Source organism: Homo sapiens, chromosome 15 (genome assembly GCF_000001405.40).
Source record: "Homo sapiens chromosome 15, GRCh38.p14 Primary Assembly".
NCBI classification, from domain to species: domain Eukaryota; kingdom Metazoa; phylum Chordata; class Mammalia; order Primates; family Hominidae; genus Homo; species Homo sapiens.
Genome location: NC_000015.10, coordinates 73,566,311 through 73,588,286, shown reverse-complemented (window position 1 = coordinate 73,588,286; position 21,976 = coordinate 73,566,311). Strand labels below are relative to the sequence as shown.

The following is a 21,976-nucleotide window of genomic DNA, read 5'->3' as shown; positions in this document are numbered from 1 at the left end:
TTTGTTTCTCTTGTTTATCTAACTGGAACCACCAGGTGAACAAGAGGTTTTTAGTGATTTTTGTTTTTGTTTTTGCTGGAGTGCGTTGGCATGATCTTGGCTCACTGCAACCTCTGCTGCCTGGGTTCAAGTGATTCTCCTGCCTCAGCCTCCCGAGTAGCTGGGATTACAGGCATGTGCCACCACACCCGGCTAATTTTTGTAGTTTTAGTAGAGACGGGGTTTCAGCATCTTGGCCAGGCTGGTCTTGAACTCCTGACCTCGTGATCCACCTGTCTCAGCCTCCTAAAGTGCTAGGATTACAGGGGTGAGCCACTGTGCCCAGCCGTGATGGTTTTATATTGTATATCTGAATATAAACTATAGTACTTTGGACATCCTTCTATTTTGATTACTTCTTTTGCATTTTGTTTCTCCCAGTAGACCAGAGCATTCTAAGGTTAGGGACCATGTTGCCATTCCATCTTTGTATTCTTGGCACCTGGAAAAGAGCAAGACATTAATGTTTTAGGATGCACAGAGAGGAATTTTTGCTTTTAGTTAGAAGGAGGTGAGTTGCATTAAGGGTTCGGAGAGCAGGATCCCTGATTGCCCCTTTGATTCTCCTTCTGTTTTATATTTTGACCGTTCCCAGTTTCCTCACTTGGTTTTTCTTCTCATCTCTGCAGGATCAATAAGCCGAGAGCTGAGGATTCAGGCGAATACCACTGCGTATATCACTTTGTCAGCGCTCCTAAAGCAAACGCCACCATTGAAGTGAAAGGTACAACCCAGCAGAGGCTGTGGTGTGAGCCTCTCACTCTCCTTCCAAGACAGTACCTTGGTCTGGAGTCCCAGTCTTCAAGCTCCTCTTCTTTCCATGTCGAGACACAATATAATGTTGTGGTTAGGCCACAGGCTCAGGATCGTGGCTGCCTGGGTTTAAATTCAAACCCCATCATCTACTAGCTGTGTGGCCTTGGTGGTTTACTAACTTCTCTTTGCTTCCTTTTCCTCATTTTTAAAATGAGGATATCAGCAGTACTTACATCATGGGTTATTTAGGAGGATTAAATAAGTTAATAGATTGAACTGCATAAAATTGCTGTTTTTATATGTCAAAAATGTTTGAATGCTGGCAGCTCCTATGGCCCAAGGCTTTGTAAAGCTCTTAGATCAGTGCCTTACAAGTATGATTACATAGGTCTTCTGTGGGCCAGCAGGATTGAGGGGAAAGTACAGTGTGCAGAGTGGACATCAGCTGTTTGTGGATAATTCATTAGAATTTTAATAGAAACCTTTGAAAGATGAGGCAGTAGCAGAAAGTTCCAAGATGGGCAAACAGAACTATAAAAGTTGGAGCTACCCAACATCATAAATTTCAGCTTTCCTAAGTTATTTCAAAGAAGCATCTGAGACCCAGAAAAGTGAAACCTCTAGCTGTCTGTCACACAGTGAGTTTGTGGCAGAGCTAGTCTAGAACACAGGTCTTGACCCCCAATCCAATGTTTTTTCTACTCTCACAAAATTATCATGAGAAGGCAGGGCTACTGTTTGAGGTCAGATTTTTTATTTTCAGTCTTTCTCATTTTGCTTAGTAAGGACACAGACTTGTTCTTTAAATCCATAGAGTTATCCCTGGAAGCTAGAAGGACAAATTTAGGAGAAGGAAGGGCCCGTATAATAGGTATTCAGGTCTTCCTAAAATATTTGGAAGGTTAAAAATGCAGATTCAAGAAAGGCTTAGACACATTCAAAGTTTCCATTATATGGTGTTATCAAAAGAAAGTAATGTCTTGGTGACACAGCCCTGAACTTGTGAGTTGATGTAGGGATGGCCACTGCCTCCTCCAGCTGCCAGTTTAATTCTGAATGCCTAAAGGAGTTACAGTTACAGGTCACACTGGGCCAGAGAACTTAGCATTTGATTTTTTTAGTGGCTTTTCTTGGAGAAACCTTGGTTTCTACCCATTTTAGAAGAATGCCACATGTATTCAACATGAAAATGAAGGATGTGGGAAAACATTTTCTCTAAGCCAGTGAGGGCTTTCCCCAGCCTAGGTGAGCCAAATTTGTGGTGAGACCTCTCTGTGAGACTTGAGGCCGTGCAGCATTCCTGGCTGAGCCTTCAGCACAAAGTCCAAGTGCAGAGAGGCAGGGTGGGTGAGGGAAGGAAAGAGTGGGGTGTCTAGTTCATTGTGCTCCCCAAGCCTAAGAGATAATTAGTCCTAACTAACTGTAATCGTTAGTGACTTTGAGTTAATGATTTCTAAAAAGCACTTTCAAGAGTGGAAATCAAAATGGTTTTTCCATTTGTTTGGCTGCTTACGAAGGTGGGGTTTAGTGGCCCTAGAGGCATCTTTCTTCATAGTCTCTTCAGCAGGTAGGAAGCAGCAGTTGCCAGGGTCAGAGAATAGGACGCTGTAGGCCAGGAGTATTTTCAGAGCAAGTTACAACTTACGTGTTATATTCAAGGTGCTTACTGTGCACTGTTGGATTCTCACTGTACAAATAGCCCTGTGTGGAAGGTGAGGCAGGTGGTAGTATCTTGGTTTTACAGAAGTAGACCTTGAGGGAATTCTGTTTTATAAATATCTTAAACCATATTCTGGACCACCTTGGATAGATATACTGTGTGTTTATCTCTCAAGAAAATTTGTAAAAGAATTCTAGTCTGTCTTTCCTTCTCCCCCCAACACCTGGATAGAAAAGAGTTCAATGTTTAATGTCTTGTCTTCCCAGTTATGGATAGTTGAGTATGGTAAAGACTATGAACACTTCGCTTTTTCTGTATAAGTTTTAAAAGGTTTGCCATAGGCCCAGGATCATATTCTAAGCTAACCTCCAATTGTGGTTGGGGTAGAAAAACTGCCTTGCATTTAGAGTAGTACATGTGTGTATGTTCCCAAAACATTTTAATAGAAACTCTCATTTTATTCCCTTAGTGTCTCCGGGGTGGGGATAAGAGACAGTTATCTTTTTATAGCTGTAGTGATCTGAAAAATCTGCTGAGTAATAGAGAGTTAAGAGGTGGTTGTACTTGAGAACAGAGAGGTTCCGAGAACATCAGTGGCCTCTTGGCTGAAAGGAGTCTCTGAGAATCTTCCTGTGTGGCTTTAACTGAATCAGCACAACAGGGCATGTAATTCAGACCATGCATATATATTTCTTCATCATCTATTCTGCTCTCAGCCGTTTCTTTCCCATCTGCCTTTTCCTGTCTTTCAGAACATTTCTGGGGTGTTGTTTGGGCTCAGCACTGTGGGAAGTGAAGCATTTAGCCTAGCCAGGGACTGGGCATTATCTGTCAGATTACCAAATCTTGAGTTATCTGTGGTCTACAAAAGAAAAGAAGGCTGAAGGAACCAGACAGAGGGACAGTGGCCTGGGAACAGAGCCAAGATGATCATGTTTTTTAACCAAAGCCTGTAGATCACCGTCAAGAAAGGAATTTGGAGGATAGGAGTATCTACATGTAGTGGGGGAGGCCTTGTATCTGGAGCAGGTTTTTAAATTCTCTCCCTTTTTTTTTTTTTTTTTTTTAAAGGACACAATGTGGCATAGTATAAACAGGAAGATACTGTTGAGGGTTACGTTTCTCAGGTATTCGGCAGGTGATCTGCACAGATGGAGAGAAGGAAGATGGAGCAGGGCCGGTCAGGAGAGGGAAGACAGCAGTGATGAGGCCTTATGGAGCCCAAAGCCCCACCTCCCTGGGATCCACTCAGCTAATACTGAGGAGGGCATCTCTGTCCTCAGCTTGTGACTCTTCAGAGGCTGTGGTACCAGAGTGCACACCTTACAGAGAATACATGAATGAATAGATGTTGAAATTTTCTACCCCTATAATTTTTCAACCTTTTGCCCCTTACTCCTTCCCTCTTCTCCTTCCTTCCTTTTCTAAAATTTTTTTTTAAAAAGTGCTCACAAAAAAGCAAATTAAAAATCCCGGTATCATTTACAAAGTAAAAAGAAAAAAATTGCTCTCATGACTCCCAAGCAGTATCCTTATCCCTTAACCATTTTGATTAGTACAAGAAAGAAGGAGTTTGAATTTTATTGCTGTTTTTGGAAGAGGATTTTGTTGGTCATCCAATCCTTTGCAACAAATATGTCACTGCCTCTTGTGAGAGGCACTTCCCAGCCCAGAAGGGGGTTGAGCCTGTTGTCTTACTAGGTTCATCTCACCCTCCTTATTGGACATTTCAAATGAGTTTCAGTCTTTTGGCTGCTGAGAGAGCCAGGATTGATCTTGTTTTTCTCCTCCCTACTCCTTAGCTTTCTCTATATTTGACTATTAAGAATAAAGGTTAGGATTTCTATAAGTGGCCTTGCCCTGCCTTCCTATTTCCTATTCTGTCATGGTGCATTACAAGTGACATATTAATCCAGACTGGCTAAGGCAGTGTGGTGGGGATGAAGATCACTGTGAAGAACAGTGATACCCAGACCACATTCACACGGCACTTTCAGCATGCACAGCATCTCCACCGTCCTTTCTTCACTGACAGTCAGGAAAGGCAGCTAGTGTGATAGGTGAGGATGCGTAGAGGTTGTGACATCCTTTAGGTGAGAACTGATGTCAAAGCAACCTGCTTCTGACTCAGAATTGCTGTGACTTGAGAAGTCTTTGAAGGCATAATAATATCATGAAGCTGCTAGGGCATTTTGAACATTAACTTCAGCCCAAAAACCACACCTGCACTTTCTTTTCCTCTCTTCAGGGTGCCACCCTGACCTTCCTTAATAAGAATAAGAATAGCTAACATTATTGCACACTTACTGTGGGTCAGGCACTGTGCTAGGTGCATTATTTGTTCCTTTTCTCTCCTTTAGTCTCCACAACTCTATGGGATAAGTGCAATTATTATCTCTACTTTCCAGTTGAGAAAATTGAGGCTTGAGGGAATAACTGGCCCAGTGTCACAGAGTTAACTGGTGAAGCTAGGGTTCTCACTCAGGCACCCTAGCACTAGATCCTGTGCTCCTAAGCACCAAGCCATGGTGCCCTGTTGAGCATGTAACATTTAAAAGGCCTTGACTAAGAGTTAGGAGAAATGTGTTCTAATCGTGGTCCTGCCATTAAACACAGTGACTCTGACCAGTCACTTCCCTTCTCTGGGTCTCAGCTTCCTCAAGTGCATGATGAAGTAGAATGAGATAGCTCATCTTTAAGGTTCCTTTGCTCTGTGTGGCTCTTGACGGTCTAGGTTCCCTTATGTGGACAGAGATGAGAGGTTGTGTATTAGTGTTTCCTAGAGGGACAGAACTTACAGGAGATACATATATGGGGGTTTGTTAAGTATTAACTTACATGGTCACAAGGTCCCACAATAGGCTGCCTGCACGCTTGAGGAGCAAGGAGAGCCAGTCCGAGTCTCAAAACTGAAGAACTTGGAGTCCGATGTTTGAGGGCAGGAAGCATCCAGCACGGGAGAAGGATGTAGGCTGGGAGAGGTTGGTTATTGCAGGAAGTGATTTCCAAGCCCATTTTCCTAGTGTTATTGGAAAATTTCAATTTGTCAGTTTCTCAGCTTGGAAAAGTCACCTGAATGACTCCCACACCTCTACCCACTCATCTCCCTGTCTTGTGGGGGGTATCTGACCTCTAGTACTGGTGCCAGGAAAGGTGATAGAACAGTGGTTCTCAATTTTGATTTAATTCATATGAACTGTGGCTCGGGCATCAGATTAAGGCACATCAGGTGATTATGGTGTACAGCCAGGGTTGAGGGTCACTGTCTTCAAGGAAACTTCTACACCTCTTACACAGTGGTTTCACCTGCAGAAGGAGGCACCTGTCCTAGACTGCTCTAGTGTTCACAACCAATGATAAATCTGCTGTGGGTGGAGAATGCTTGTTGAGCCAAAAGCCTGCATCCTTCTTGCTTCTGTCTTGACTGATCTCATATTCCTTCTTGGGCATAGCTCTTGGCAAGCAGTAAATCTTCACTCTCCCACTGCCGTCAGCCAAGTGTTCATTTTGTCCACCACAAAGATAGGTGTTTTTGGGATTTGATAGGTTGCATGAAGGAAGCAAATAGACCGTAAATGCAGAATCTCTGTGTTTACTTGGAAACAGGCTAGTCATTGACAACACCTTTAAGGATAGATTTTCTTTGAAGATAAGTTGCTGGGTTATGAACATGCTTTAAAAAGTGAGCACCAAGGCCAGGCGCAGTGTCTTGAGCCTGTAATCCCAGCACTTTGGGAGGCCAAGACGGGCAGATCACAAGGTCGGGAGTTCAAGACCAGACCAGCCTGACCAAGGTGGTGAAACCCCGTCTCTACTAAAAAATACAAAAATTAGCCGAGTGTGGCGGTGCACGCCTGTGGTCCCAGCTACTCAGGAGGCCGAGGCAGAAGAATCGCTTGAACCCGGGAGGCGGAGGTTGCAGTGAGCTGAGATCGCGCTGCTGCACTCCAGCCTGGGCGACAGAGCGAAACTCTGTCTAAAAAGAAAAAAAAAAAGAGCACCATATAAGCAGTGTCTGTAAAGAGGCCTTATATCTTGATCACTTTCTTAAGTCTGTTCTGTTAACTTTATTTAATATCATCTGAAACGTGCCTCCATGGCCTGAGTTGACAGTTTCTACAGCATCCAGCCTGGCCTAGAAGCTGACCCTTTGCTCTAAGTGCATCAGGTTGGGTAGCAGAGGGTACTAAGGAACATGCATTCGTCCTCAGCCAGAGTCCCAGACTGCCCAGATAATGAAATTGGTTCAGGTGCTGTTGGGTAACAGAGACTCTTTTGGGACCCCTGTGTTGCTATTTATTAGGATACTGGAGGGATAGCCATTAACCAGTGTGACTAGAATATGTGACTAACAAGGCCAGAGAATGAATGAATTCCTGAGTGGATCAGAACTCTCTTCTAAGGGTCTTTTTGTTACTTTGTTGCTCCTACCCCTTGCTCTTGCCACTTAGTCTGTGCCCCCCTAAGAGGGTAAAGAGAAGCACAGAGTATTGTCTCTGTCTCCTTCAGGATATGAAGGCTTAGTTAGACGCTCAGACCTGCTTTTAGACCAACAAAATCTGGTTAAGCAGTCCCTTATTAAAAGGCAAGACCATAGAAGGTGAGGCACTAAAATAGGCCATTAATCAGATAATTTATCAGTATCTGACATGATTAAACCTTATTTTTAGAGCTACAAACAAAAGTCCTGTTTGTATCAGCAAATGGGGAGAGCACATAGTAATCAGTATCTTTGATTTCTTAGAACTAATGACAGAGTCGAAGCCTTAGCCTTTCCTTTCCCTGACTGATGTTTAAATGCTTGGCCCTGAGTTCCAACCATGTTCTAGATTAGTATGGAGATGTAATTTAATCCTCACAAGACCTCTGAAACATGTGAGTATTACTCTTATTTTACAATACTAAAACTCAGAGTATTTGACGTGATCTGCCCTGGGTTACTCAGTTGGTGAGTAATAGAGTCGAGATCAAGTCCAGATTTCCATGTTTTCAGGTCTGAAGCTCTGCTCTTTACGCTACACTAATACAGAGTAAAGTCTGACAGGTAAATAGGTTCTGCTTTGGGTCTAAGGTAAATTGGTTCTGCTTTGGGTCTAAGGTGTTTTAGCACATCTACAAGGAAAGATAACTTTTGGGCTCTTTGCTCTGCAGTTACCAGTAATACATGGTAACAAATATATACATATATAACATGTATATACATATATACATATATAACATGTATATACATATATACATATATAACATGTATATACATATATAACATGTATATACATATATACATATATAACAAATATATACATATATAACTATATTATATATAATATATATATTTATGTATATATATATTTATGTATATATAAATATATTTTGTATATATACATATATATTATATATATTATATATATATTATATATATATTATATATATAATATATATATTTTAAAGTTTTACTTTAAGTTCTGAGATATATGTACAGAACGTGCAGGTTTGTTACATAGGTATACTTGTGCCATGGTGATTTGCTGCACCTATCAACCCATCATCTAGGTTTTAAGCCCCACATGCATTAGGTGTTTGTCCTAATGGTCTCCCTCCTCGCATGTTGTATATTTTTATTTTTGTGGACTCTATTCTAGTTTATTTTCCCCTCAGTATGTTAAAGTACAAAAAGCATAGTCTCTGGATTCACACAACCCTGAACTTGGATTCTGGCTTTACCATTTAAACATTAAATTACTTTTCCAAACTTGAGTTTTCCAATTTTAAAAAGTGGGGTAATGTCTGCTTCATCAATTGGTATATTTGTATCTATACATACAAAAATGCATAATAAATTACCCCAAAACTTAGTGGCATAAAATGCTAAGCACTTACCACCTCACAGTTTTCCTGAGTCAGTAATTAGGGAGCAGCTTAGTGGGGTGTTCTGGCTTGGGGTCTTTCCTGAGATTTTGGTCAAGCTGTTGGCTGGAGCTGCAGTCATCTGAAAGCTTGACCAGAGCTGGAGGATCCACTCCATGTGTACAGCTCACTCACATGGCTCTTGGCAGTGGCCCTCAGTTCCTCAGTGTGCCCCTCTCCATTGGTTGGTTGAGTGTCCCCCAGTATGGCGGCCACCCTTTCCCAGAGTGTCAAATAAAGAGGGGAAGTGGTGTTCTCCTCCTCCCACACACCAAGGCAGGAGTGAAGACTGTTCCTAGCCCCCTTCCCAATCTTGACCTTTAAGTCTGGGTCCTTTCAGAATAGTGACTTTTCAGAGGCAGTGCAGCTGCCGACTCAACTTTTAGCATTCTAGATGGTTCTAATGTACAGTCTTGGAAATGAGTCCCCAAAGCAAAAGCTGATAGTACTGAATTCATAGTACTATTGCCAATAACTGGCCCAAAGTGGGTGTCTTCTTTGGGTCAAAGGAGAATGAAAATGGGAAAATGTACCACATATAAGCTGATACCTGAAATTTATATCCCTAACATAGAACATTTCCCTGAACTCCAGACTTGCTCTTTTACTGCCTACTTGATATTTTTACTTGGATTTTTTTTTTTTTTTTTGAGACGGAGTCCCCTCTGTCGCCCAGGCTGGAGTGCAGTGGCGCGATCTCAGCTTACTGCAAGCTCCACCTCTTGGGTTCGTGCCATTCTCCTGCCTCAGCCTCCCGAGTAGCTGGGACAACAGGCTCCCGCCACCGTGCCTGGCTAATTTTTGTATTTTTAGTAGAGACGGGGTTTCACCGTGTTAGCCAGGATGGTCTTGATCTCCTGACCTCGTGATCCGCCTGCCTCAGCCTTCCCAATACTTGGATGTTAAATAAGTATCTTTTTTTTTTTTTTTTTTTTGAGACAGAATCTTACTCTGTCGCCCAGGCTGGAGTGCAATGGCATGATCTTGGCTTACTGCAGCCTCCACCTCCCAGGTTCAAGCGATTCTCTCGCCTCAGCCTCCCAAGTAGCTGGGATTACAGGCACCTGCCATTATGCCTGGCTAATTTTTGTATTTTTGTAGAGACAAGGTTTCACCAGGTTGGCCAGGCTGGTCTCAAACTCCTGACCTTAGGTGATCCGCCCACCTCGGCCTCCCAAAGTGCTGGGATTACAGGTGTGAGCCACTGCACCTAGCCAGCCACCACACCTAGCCATATGTTAAATAAGTATCTTAAACTTACCATGTTCTAGACCTTGACCTTCTGGTTTTTACCACCACTGTTTCTCAGTCTTTTAACAAAACAAACTAAGATTAAGCAAACAAAAAACACTCTTATTCTTTTGCAATTTTCCTCATCTTAGTAACTGTCAACTCCATTCTCACAGTTACACAGGCCAAAACCTTGGTGTCATCCTTGACTCCTTTTCTTCTCACAGTCCACATTCAATCTATTAGCAAATATGTTAACTCAACCTCCAAAATATACCTGGAATCTCACCATTTCTCCTTATTTCCACTGTTACTGCCCCCATGGAAACCAGCCTCTCCCTTGCCTGGGTTACTGTAATAGCCTCCTGCTTGGTCTTGCTTCCACTGCTGTCTCTGCAGTTCTTGTTCACATAGTAGCCACGGGGAGCCTGTTAAAACACACCCATCATTTTATACCTGCACATAGTATTCACCAGTGGCTTCCCGGCTGACTCACTGTAACTGCCAAAGTCATTATGGTGGCCTACAAAGTCCTGTCTAATCTGGGTCCCCAGTCTCTCTGATTTCTTTTATTTCCTGCTCTCTTCTCCTTGCTTACTATGTTCCAATCAAATCCTCTTTGCTGTTCCTTGTACATAACAAGCACAATCCTACCTCAAGACCTTTGCATTTCCCTCGACCTAGAGTGTTCTTCCTACAGATATGTGTGACCTACTCCCTTCTTTTCTTTTTTGCTGGGAGACCAGAGTTTTATTACTATTCAAATCAGTCTCCCCTAGCATTCAGGGAGCAGAGTTTCTAAGGATAACTTGGTGGTTGGGGGAAGCCAGTGAGCCAGGAGTGCTGATTGGTTAGAGCTGAAATCACAGGGAGTCAGAGCTGACTTCTTGTGCTCAGTCAGTTCCTGGGTGGGGGTCACAGGATCAGATGAGCCAGTTTATTGATCTGGGTGGGGCCAGCTGATCCATCAAGTGCAAGGTCTGCAAAATATCTCAAGCACTGATCTTAGGAGCAGTTTAGGGAGGGTCAGAATCTTGTAGCTTCCAGCTGCATGACTCCTAAACCATAATTTCTAATCTTGTGTCTAATGTTAGTTCTACAAAGGCAATCTAGTCCCCAGGCAAGAAGGGAGTCTGTTTTGGGAAAGGGTTGTTACCATCTTTGTTTAAACTATAAGTTTCTCCCAAAGTTAGTTCAGCCTGCGCCCAGGAGTGAACAAGGACAGCTTGGAGGTTAGAAGTAAGATGAAGCAGTTAAGTTCGATCTCTTTCCCTGTCTCAGTCATAATTTTGCAAAGACGGTTTCAGTCTCTCCCTTTGGGTTTTATAACACCTTAATCTTAAGGTGTAGGCTCTGAAGATGGCAAAAGGCCGTAGATCACTCTGGCTTCTTCCTGCTGATAGGGGACATTGTGGGAATGGGAGTGAACCCCAAGGTGAGAAGAGTGGAACCACCTTGTAACTGTCTGAGTGTACTCATGCAGGCCTGGCTAGGATTCCAAGGCTTGTGTGGGAAAAACATTACTACTCTCATCTATAGTTTTACTACAGTGTTTAAGTGAACAGCCTACTGTAAGGTAAATAACGAGTCCTAGGATGAGGAGTACAATTCCCAATTTTAAAAGCAAAGATTTGAAAGCATTAGTTTGGGGACTTCCAACCCACAAAGAATTTAGAATTTCATCTAAACTGCAGAAAAAAACCTCAAGAACAGCTAACAACAGTATACTATAGTTTTTCTTTTGAAGCGTAATTTTTCTCTCTCCAGTCCCCATTTTTATTAAAAACAAATCATGATAGAACTGATTTATTTATAAAATAAACTTATTCTTACTGTACTTGGCCTGATTATTTGCATAAAGTGCAGCAAGAGTAGTTATTTTTCACTTAGGCTTTTTAAATTGGCTTTGACAGAACTCTGTTCCATGAAGAATCTCAGATAAGACTGTTAAAAAGTCGAGCCCAGCCATGGGTTTGTACCCTCAAATACTTACGAGTTGGGCAAATTCCTCTCCTCTTGAGGTCCCAAGATAACTTGGGGTTCCTGGCCTGTTAGAAAGTGACATTCTTAGCCAGGCGCAGTGGCTCACACCTGTAAACCCAGCACTTTGGGAGGCTGAGGCGGGTGGATCACTTCAGGTCAGTAGTTTGAGACCAGCCTGGCCAACATGGTGAAACCCCATCTCTACTAAAAATACAAAAATTAGCCAGGTATGGTGGCAGATGCCTATAATCCTAGCTACTTGGGAGGCCAAGGCAGAAGAATCACTTGAACCCGGAAGGTGGAGGTTGCAGTGAACCAAGATCACACCACTGCATTCCAGCCTGGCCAACAGAGAGAGACTGCATCTCAAAAAAGAAAAAATACATTCTTTACTTACCACAGGTCAGGAACCTTGTATATACTCCCTTATTTTCTTCACGACCATGCTAAAGTTCATCTCATCACAAAAGCCTTACCCAACCAGTCTGACATATCTGGTGTGTAGTGGGTGCTCAGCAGGTGTTTGCCAGATGAATGAAGCATGGCTGGCTGGAGCAGCACATGGTAACCCTTCGGGCATGCTGGGTCCTGTGTGGCTATGGAGCCTGCTCCTTGGAGTGCTTGGAATTTATGGACTGAAGTAAGCTCTGAGAAAGGGTGACCAGGTTGAACAGTCAGCCTAAGAAGTGACTGAGTAGCTGTGGGAAAAGTTCGGCTTTGTGGGAATGAGATAGAGCCAGGTTGACCACTTCCTTCTGTAGTAAGAAACTTTGCCTGGAAAAAAAAAGATATTTCCTTTGAAACGTACTATCTAGAAAACACTTCACACTGAGTGTTACTCAGCAGGCCTCAGTTTGGCAGGGACTGGTTACAGAGACAGCTTGGGGCCTTGCCCAGTGCATGCCCATCCAGGTGCCTCTGGAGGGTGAGTCTAAAACCAGTTTGTGCCTGGGAAGCACATTCTGTGACTAGTAGGACTTTGCATTGTTTTTAAGCCAAGAAAAACCAAGCCAGTCAAAGGTGGAACATGAGATTAGCCCCAATGCAATAGTACAGGCTTCTACAGTCTCAAGATGAATGTTTTGACATCCTGTTCATCTACCCAAGAACACTGGGAGGTAGACAAGGACACGAGGTGTCTCCATTTGATAATGGCTGTAGCAGCAAAGCCCAGAATAACGAAAGAACCAACAAAACTGGAATTGGGACCAAGGCATATCGATTCTCTTTCCTATCTTGGATAACAGAGTGACATCCAGCCTGCTTTGACTTTTATTGCTCTCAGATTACTGTAACCCGGCTGGGCGTGGTGGCTCACGCCTGTAATCCCAACACTTTGGGAGGCTGAGGCGGGCAGATCATCTGAGGTTAGCAGTTCGAGACCGGCCTGACCAACATGGTGAAACCCCATCTCTCCTAAAAATACAAAATTAGCCGGGCGTGATGGCTCACGCCTGTAATCCCAACACTTTGGGAGGCCAACGCGGGCAGAACACCTGAGGTCAGGAGTTCAAGACCAGCCTGACCAACATGATGAAACCCCATCTCTCCTAAAAATACAAAATTAGCTGGGCATGGTGGCACATGCCTGTAATCCCAGCTACTCAGGAGGCTGAGGCAGGAGAATCGCTTGAAACCAGGAGTTGGAGGTTGCAGTGAGCCAAGATCACACCATTGCACTCCAGCCTAGGCGACAAGAGCGAAACTCTGTCTCCAAAAAAATTACTGTAACTGGTGAAGCATTGGCGGGTAATATAGTTATGATAAAATAAAGCTAAATCCAAAGAATTCGCTTTTATCTCAGGCTTCTTTGATCCTTGAAACTTACTTAATTTTTAGACTACAGTTGTTGTTTATTTCTTCCTAAGTGATCCCTATAAATAGAGAAGACCAACGGCCTCTAGCATGTCTTGAAATTCCTTCTATATTGGGTTCAGTCTAGGAAACTGTTGCAAATCAGGTGTCCAAGGCAGATTCTTAAGTTGTTAATAAAAGGTCTTAGGGCCAGGTGCAGATGCAAACACCTGTAATCCCAGCACTTTGGGAGGCCAAGGTGAGAGGATCACTTGAGGTCAGGAGTTCAGGACCAGCCTGGGCAATATAGTAAGACCCCGTCTATACAAGAAATTTAAAAATTAACCAGGTGTAGTGGCATGTGCCTGTAGTTCTAGTTACTCGGGAGCTGAGGATCACTTAAGCCCAGGAGCTTGAGGCTACAGTGAGCAGCGATCATGCCACTATGCTCCAGCCTGGACGATAGAATAAGACCCCATCTCAATCAGTCATTCAATTAAAAAAAAAATCTCTTGGGACACTGGTTGAATTTCCTGTTCATTCCTTTCTTCCTCCTTGTGAAGACCAGTTTCTGGATTCCCTCTTTCCTGGGAGAGCCTTGGTCATTGTTACTTATTGAGTAGCTTCTCCAAGCATTCATTGTTTTTACATACCTTGTAATAGGACTTGATTGTAGTTGTTTTATCTCAGAATCTCATTTCCTTAAGGGAATGTGTGATATTTGACAGGATGCATAACTGTTGTTCATGCAGGTGTTTTAAGAAAAAACTTGGGCCGATAGAAGAGATAATAGTGTTTGTTTGCATTTTCTTTAAAGGTAGGCTTAATTGAGGGCAGTTGGACCTGCATCCTTTTCCAGTAGGTTGGAGAATCACCTACATTAGTAGAGCCTCATATATTAGTAACCCTGGTATCTGCCTGGGCATCTTTAGCGGGTGGGGGGTAGAGGATGGGTTTGGTCCCTTTACCCTATTCTGACCTGAAATGCTCTTCATCAAAGCTGAGTATGACAGTAAGCATAAAGACTGACTACATTACAAGCAGGGCTCTGAGCCAGAAGGTGGGGCCTTTGTATCCTGTTTGGAGTAGACTTCCGTGGTAACTGCGTCTAACGCTTTCTCACAGCCGCTCCTGACATCACTGGCCATAAACGGAGTGAGAACAAGAATGAAGGGCAGGATGCCACTATGTATTGCAAGTCAGTTGGCTACCCCCACCCAGACTGGATATGGCGCAAGAAGGAGAACGGGATGCCCATGGTGAGTAGGAGGCAGGCCCGGGTCTCTGGTTGCTGGAGTTTTCCCTGCAGAGGTCCAGACACGTGGGTCAGTTACTGTAGTAGCTGTATCCTCGGATGTGTGCATGGCGAGGGTCACCCTTTCTAGAGTCACGGTTTACAGCATGAATCAAGAGGTCATTGACAGTCTCTTCCAGCACAAAAATCCCTGTACGTGATTTGTTAAAGCTGTCCCTCTGGTAAGAGATTAGATTGCTCACTGTATTAGTCCATTCTCACTTTGCTCTAAAGAACTTCCAGAGACTGGGTAATTTATAAAGAAAAAAGGTTTAATTGGCTCATGATTCCACAGGCTTTACAGGAAGCATTGCCGGGGAGGCCTCAGGAAACACAGGAAAGATGATCTTTCCTATCTTAGACAACAGAGTGACATCTGGCCTGCTTTGAGTTTTATTGCTTTCAGATTACTGTAACTGAAGGTGAGGCATTGACAGGTAATATAGTTAAGATAAAGCTAAATCCAAAGAATTAGCCTCCCCCTCAGGCTTCTTTGATCCTTGAAACTTACCTATTTTTTAGACTGCAGTTGCTGTTTATTTCTTCTTAAGTGATCCCTGTAAGTAGAGAAACTTAGAATCATGGTGGAAGGTGAAGGGGAAGCAGGCAGGTCCTAGGTGGCTGGAGAGGAGGAAGAGAGTGAAGGAGGGAGATGCTACACACTTTTAAACAACCGGGTCTCATGAGAATTCACTGTCAGGAGAACAGCAAAGGGGATATCCGCCCCCATGATCCTGTCACCTCCCACAAGGCCCCTCCTCCAACACTGGGGATTATAATTCACCATGAAATTGGGGTGAAGACAAAATCCAAACCATATCACTTGCCTTCAGGATAGGACACTGAAAGAACCGAGCCTAATTCTCGTCCATTTATCCTGAAGAAAATACTGTTTTTGAAGTGGTCTTAGAGAACCTGCCTTGTTTTTTTAGTAGGAAACAAGGTACTGAGGGCAATTATTAGTACATTCCTGCAACACAGAACATACTGATAAGGAATTGGGGCAACCTGAGGAGGCCCAAGGTACTGAGGGCAATTACTAGTACATTCCTGCAACACAGAACATACTGATAAGGAATCGGGGCAACCTGAGGAGGCCCAAGGGCAGCCTTGGCAGCCTTAGACATTGGGAACCTGACGGTATTTGCCCCAGAAAATGTCAAAGAGAACATCTTTTCCGATCAGTGGGATGATTCATGATGTTGTTTGGAGAGTCAGAGCTTTAGAACCTCACTTTCTCTCTCATTATGATTGTTGACCCATTACCTTTTCTGTCAGAGAGCGTGTCAAGCGTTCCTCTGATCCCATGGATCCTCTTTGATTATCAGTCTTCAGAATCCAAAAGGACCTTAAAGATCATTAATCCATCTTCTTTGGAAGGGTTCCATAGTAGCCAAGATAAATTAGTGGCAAAACCAAGAGTTGTATCTAGTTTTTTTAAATTTCAAGTCCATTATTCTTCCTACTTCATGACATCTTGATAATAAAATGTTGAGTTGTGATAATGACTCCAACATCAGCGATGATTTCAGAGACCCGTTAACGAGGAGCAGGATGAGGATTGCCGAGGTGAAGATGCTGAGTCTTTTTTACAAGACACTGAACTTTCTAAGGCACTGGAGAGGAAATGTCCACTTCTCTCTGCTGGTCACTGGGAAGGAGTGCCCTTGAGCTTTTGCCAAAGCAGGTTGGAATTAACGCAGTATGTGTTTTAATCTGAAAGATGAAGCTTGAGGCATCACAGACTAGCTGTTTTAAAAGCTTACGAGTTCCCCATTTCAGATGTACCTGCACTCAAATGCTGACAAGATTGTATGCCATATCTAGAATCATTTCCAGGATAATATTCCCCTTTTTCTCTCCTATTTCTGATTGTGCTTTAGTTGTTGCAGGGTAAAGACACATGAGTCTGTTTTTTCCCTGCCGGGATCTCATGAGCTGAGTGCAGTGAGCCATCCCGCTGAGTCCCGACCTCTGCCTGTGCACTCTTGCACCTCTGCCTTCACACCCATGCGAATCCCTGCCTGCACTGCTCCTCCCTGTTTGATCAGCTGTCCTCCTCCACAGTCTAGTGCAAATGTTAGCTCATGTGTGAAGCTTTCCCTGACTCTTTCCAGCAGTGGCCACTCACTGTGCCCTACAGCACTCTATACACACGCTCTGTTGGGGCTTCTTAACACATTCCTGAAATCAGTCATCCCTTTTTGGATGTCTGGTTCCCTTTTGAGGCCAAGCTCCTTATTCATTTCTAGGTCTGTCTTCTCCCTATCTCACCTTCTCACTCCCACCTGCCCTTAGTAGGATATAAAGCATGCAGCATATTTTAGTAAATATTTGTTCTCTTTTATTTGTTTGTTTTGTTTTGTGTTAAGACAGGGTCTTGATCTGTCTACCAGGCTGGAGTGCAGCAACCTCCTGGGCTCATGTGATCCTCCTGCCTCAGCCTTCTGTGTAGCTGGGACCACAGGTGTACACCACTATGCTCAGCTAATTTTATTTTTGATTTTTTGTAGAGATGGGGTCTCAGTTTGTTGCCAAGGCCAGTCTTGAACTCCTGGGCTCAAGCGATCCTCCCACCTTAGCTTCCTAAAGTGCTGAGATTACAGGCATGAGCCTCTGTGCCCAGCCACAAATATTTGTTGATTGATTGAATAACCTTTCCTCTAACCTCTAGTCCTTAAATGAAAGGAAAGTTATGAATTTCCCCCAGTCTGACTAGGAGTGAGTTCTTAGCATTGTTTGTGGAGGAAGTTTAAGGAGACTTCCTCAGAACTCACCAAGTGTGAAGTCAGTGTGCTGACTCTGAGGTCATCAGAGAGGCCTGAGGTCCCCGAGGCATGCCTGACTGTAGGGGTTGTACCCCTCCTTCTGCCGTCCTCTTTCTGCTGTGGTTTCTTACCTGGTGTTGGAGGCAGCATTTACTAGGTTGTTGGACTTTTCTGAGTCTCCAGGCAGTAGGACCTGCACTCACTTCGTGGAAGTCGGGGAAGTCTGGAGGACCGATGGTAAGGGAGGCTTGCCTGGCTCTGTCAGAAGTTGATTTGTTGTTGTTGATACTGAAGGGAAATCATTAATGAAATGTTCCTAGACACTGCTTCCTCATTCTGGCTGGTGCCTAAAAAGAACGGAGAGCAGTGTCACCCTCTCTTGAACATTAGCTCAGTTACTCACTCTCACCTTTGTGTATTCTCACTTTTTTGCAGGACATTGTCAATACCTCTGGCCGCTTCTTCATCATCAACAAGGAAAATTACACTGAGTTGAACATTGTGAACCTGCAGATCACGGAAGACCCTGGCGAGTATGAATGTAATGCCACCAACGCCATTGGCTCCGCCTCTGTTGTCACTGTCCTCAGGGTGCGGAGCCACCTGGCCCCACTCTGGCCTTTCTTGGGAATTCTGGCTGAAATTATCATCCTTGTGGTGATCATTGTTGTGTATGAGAAGAGGAAGAGGCCAGATGAGGTTCCTGACGGTAAGAGCATCCCTACAAAATAGCTGTACTGCTGGGGTTGGTTCCTTCGGGTGGTTTCCAAGTACCCAAAGAGGACTATAGGGATGTTGGGATTCAATCCCTAAAGGAAAGAAGGAAAATTCTTATACCAGTTCCTAACCCCCTACCCGTAAGAGTTTTTTATTTTTATTTTTTATTTTTATTTTATTTTTATTTTTTTTGCATTAGCCATCTAGAGCTGTCCTTAGCTCTCTCCCTCTGTTTGGGTGTTTTCCAAACCCTAGTCCCATCTGCCTTTCAGGCCCCATGTGGTGAATGGGCAGCTGTCAGTCTCTTTGTTCAGCTCTGTCCTCCTTCAATACAGATCATCAGGCAGATTGAGCTTGAGGAGAATCCAAGTCAAGCCTAGAAGCCACCCCAAGATGGCAGGCCACCTGGCCTTTCAGGCAGATTTAAGGTATCTAACTGGTTGTCACATGGTTGCCTGGTGTAGCCCCTGTAGGTAACTGCCCCAGCCCAGTCAGACTGTTCTCAGAAAAGCCATTGGAACAAGCCAGCTTTTGGTTCCTTGGTTGGTCCCTTTGATAGGTTTCCAGCGCTCTCTGCTGGGTGGCTTTCCATCTGTGTCTCACAGACAAAGGAGAGTCTGATGTATCCACCCATCTAGTGTAAGACAGAGATAGCAAAGGCGGAACAAATGGAGTCCATGCCCCGAGGCTGTGCCCTCAAGCTGGCCTAGGGTCAGAGAAGGGAGGAGATGGTAGCAGCAGAACCACAGCACACCACTGAGCACTGGAAAGAGCAAGAGCTGAAATCTTAGGTTATTGGATATGCCTAGAGTCAGAAAAGCCTTGGGAAATTTTTGGTGATCGATTTTTCCTGTGAAGGGGGAAGCTGCTGATGGAGACTTGTATCTGCAGTACTTCAGGTTCCCAGCTGGCTCCCCATCCCCACCCTATAACATGACCGGCGTACAGAAATTAATTGGCCGACTGTTACCACCACTAGTCTGTCCCTGGCTAGACTAGACAGATGGGTGTGCCCCTGGGCTCAGTGGTAGCCTACCCGGGGTGATGGTGGGGTTGCCAGCTGTAGTCCAGCTGTTCTGGGGCCTGTGTTTGTGCACCTGTGGTGCTGTATCCTGCCCCACAGAGCTGGCTGTCCAGTGGAGAATACAAAGTGACATCTGGTGCTCCCTCAGAAAGAATGTGGCCCCAGAGGCATGCCAGTGGCTTTAGACTCTCTGGGAGGACATGTTTGAGAGCAACAGCCCCTTCCCCATCTTTTCCTTTCTTCTCAGCAGTTATAAATCTCTCTGCCTGCAGTAAGTAGAGTGAGTGGCTGGTGAGGAGGTTTGTTGATGACACTGACAATATCTGGTGACTCCCTCCAGATGTGCACTCAGCAGTGAGCTGGGCAGAGGCGTGGGAAGGACGTTGGCTGGGAGCAGACGGCCTCTGCAAATGAATCTCTAGTTTCCTGCAACCTGGGAGTGTCCCCATGAGTTTTACTTTCCTACTTTATGAAGTGAACCTGCTTTCTTTGGGATTTCATGTACTCCTAATGCTTTTTCTCTCCAGGTATTTCTTTCCTGCTACATATTAGGACTCCCAAGGCAAGAGTGCACCTTTATTTAGACCTGGGAGTAAAGGGAAAGAGTTGCCTGTCTTTCGTGTGTTTTCAGCTTTGGCTCTGTGGGATCAGTTATGCCTCATTCCTGAAAAGGGCCTTTTTATCCCCCCAGAATGCTTTTGCTTTGCCAATACCACCTTCCTCAGCCTGCCTTTTGGAAAGGTTGAGAAGCTAAAAAGTCAGGTAAGAGAAGGCAGAGATGGACTTCAGAACCTGATTTTTAAATTTTAAGGCAAGGCTGGCTGCCACTGGTGAGAGTGATGCAGCAGCCTAGCGTGTTCCCAGCAGAGGTCTAGTCTTTGCCCTAAGAAGTCACCGCGCTTATGAGGTTGCTATCACAGTGCATGTGGTAGGTTAGATTTGAGAAATGGTTAGGATTGTTCTGTTGGATAAGTGCAGACACCTGCCCAGGGAAGCAGCTCTTTTTTTGTAAGAGTTTTCTTGGTTACTGAAATCAAATGGGGGACCAGTTTGTTATAGGAGACATCTGTGGCCAGCAAATCTGAACAGCTTCCTAGAGGGAAAGTACCTCTTTTAAACTAAGTTATTATAGACAGTGAATGAATCCTACCCTTAAAAGAGATGACGGCAGGGTAAGTGCAAAGTAAAACCTCCTTGCTCTAGTCTCTTGGGAGAGTATTGTAATGAAAGCAGCGTTTACTTCGTTGTTGTTGCATTGGGGTGAAAAATCTGAGATGCTGGAATGATGGCAATGTTTGCCTTCTCTCCTTCCCTTCCTGACAGCCAGTGTGGGCCAGGCTCCACTCTCCATCTTCACACCCTGCCCTTGCTCCAGTATTTCCATTCTGTTTTTCTCCTCTGTCTCTTTCTGTCTTTCTCTCAAACTCCATCCTGCTTCCACCCCTGCCCGCTTTTCTTCTCCTTTCCTGGAAGTAATCATTAAACAAAAGAAAAAGTTGAATGTTCTTTGGTGAGTTTCCTTCTTCTCTGCCTTTTCCTTCTTTAGCCAGTTCCCCTCAACCCCTGTGCACTCCATAGGAAGGACAAACTTACCTGTCTGCTTCCTTCCCATGTGCTTCTCCCCAAATTTTCATATAGATATATACGTACACTCCTTTTGGAATAAACGAAGAGGTACATTATATTTGACACAAACTTGGGAGTGTTAAGAGGTCATAAGTGTTTACCTATCAGATAACCATCTGTGGCTCTGTGTTGGATTTTTTTTATACCATTAGGAAAATGGGAATTTTTTTATAGGCCTGCCATACTTCTACTTTGCCAAATAGCACTTTATTATCAAGATACACCCATGGCTCATTTCAGACTCACTGAACTTTTTTTATATGAATGCACAGTCGTCATATTTTGGGCAGTCTGTGAGTTCTTGGTAACTCATCCCCTTACTACAAAAGCACTAAGTGAACAATACAAAAGTATAAAAGCACAAATTTGAACTTACATAGTTTAGTTTAAGTATGTTTCACTAGAAAATCAAATATTTAGATTTCTCACATTGAAAATGCTTAGGATTGAGGTTTAGCTGCTTCCTTTAAAAAAAAAAAAAAAAAAAAAGCCCCATGTCTTTTTTCTTTACCTACTGGAGTATTCTCAGACCATTTCCTACATGAAAACACCCACCTGCATTCCTTTAGTCCCCTGTATGGTCTCTTTGAGGATCAGTGCCCACTAGGTTGTCTTGTAGGTGGACTAATCTACAGATCACCTTTACCTTCAGTATTTTCAGGAACAAGTGAATCATGGAGTCAAATAAGAGCTTTGTTTTGTTCACTTGACTCACCACTTGACTGTATTCCCTGAAAATGTTAAATGATAGTTCTCTAAAAAGACCAGGTCAAGCTAGCAGCCTCTAGGCTTCCATCCATGTCACAGCTGGGCACCTGCTTGGGTGCACCTTCTGTGTTGGTGTCCTGCGGACTGCACTCCAGGAGCAGTCAGCCTGTGCTCCTGAGTCTCCCCTCCCCAGGCCCTGGAGGAATGGGGAGTGAACCCACTTAGTTGCTGAGGCCTGCAGTTCTTCTGGATATTTTAGTGACCTCACAGACAGCAAATTAAAACAGGAGCTGATTTAAGAAAAGAAGTGCTGGTACCAAAAAAGAACTTTCTGTTTTTACCTTGGGATAATTTTTTATAAGCAAGTCAAAGGGACTCTCTTTAAGTTACTGATGGAGAAGATATTTGAGGTTTTTTGGGGGGCCATTTTTAGTGGCTCTGATATATCCAAGCTCTTTTAGACACTTTAGAAT

The 21,976-nt window shown here is 43.9% G+C and overlaps 1 protein-coding gene and 1 long non-coding RNA gene across 9 annotated transcripts in view, besides 1 other annotated feature; both read left to right on the top strand.

Moving 5' to 3' along the window:
• Positions 1 to 21,976, top strand: part of NPTN (neuroplastin) — a 73,376-nt gene that overhangs the window by 45,103 nt on the left and 6,297 nt on the right. For 6 of the 8 annotated variants that reach the window (XR_007064440.1, XR_007064439.1, NM_001161364.2 and 3 more), the window contains 3 exons: positions 669 to 763; positions 14,492 to 14,625; positions 17,864 to 18,137. Coding sequence is in view for 5 of the 8 variants with exons in the window: in NM_001161364.2 (NP_001154836.1) it covers positions 669 to 763; positions 14,492 to 14,625; positions 17,864 to 18,137 (503 nt within the window). In the remaining 3 variants the exon portion in view is untranslated. Of the gene's footprint in view, positions 1 to 668; positions 764 to 14,491; positions 14,626 to 17,863; positions 18,138 to 18,480; positions 18,574 to 21,976 lie in introns of those variants that run through there. The other 2 variants (XR_007064438.1, XM_047432389.1) reach the window with 1 other exon arrangement.
• Positions 665 to 830: a silencer, noted in NCBI's record as "fragment chr15:73879798-73879963 (GRCh37/hg19 assembly coordinates)". NCBI's record gives its function as "represses an EF-1alpha promoter that drives an FKBP-Casp9 reporter gene in an ReSE screen in K562 erythroleukemia cells {active_cell/tissue: K562}" and the evidence as "EXISTENCE:reporter gene assay evidence [ECO:0000049][PMID:32094911]".
• NPTN-IT1 (NPTN intronic transcript 1) lies at positions 18,744 to 21,349 on the top strand. The gene has a single exon (NR_103844.1). It is a non-coding gene; the product is annotated as an NPTN intronic transcript 1 (long non-coding RNA).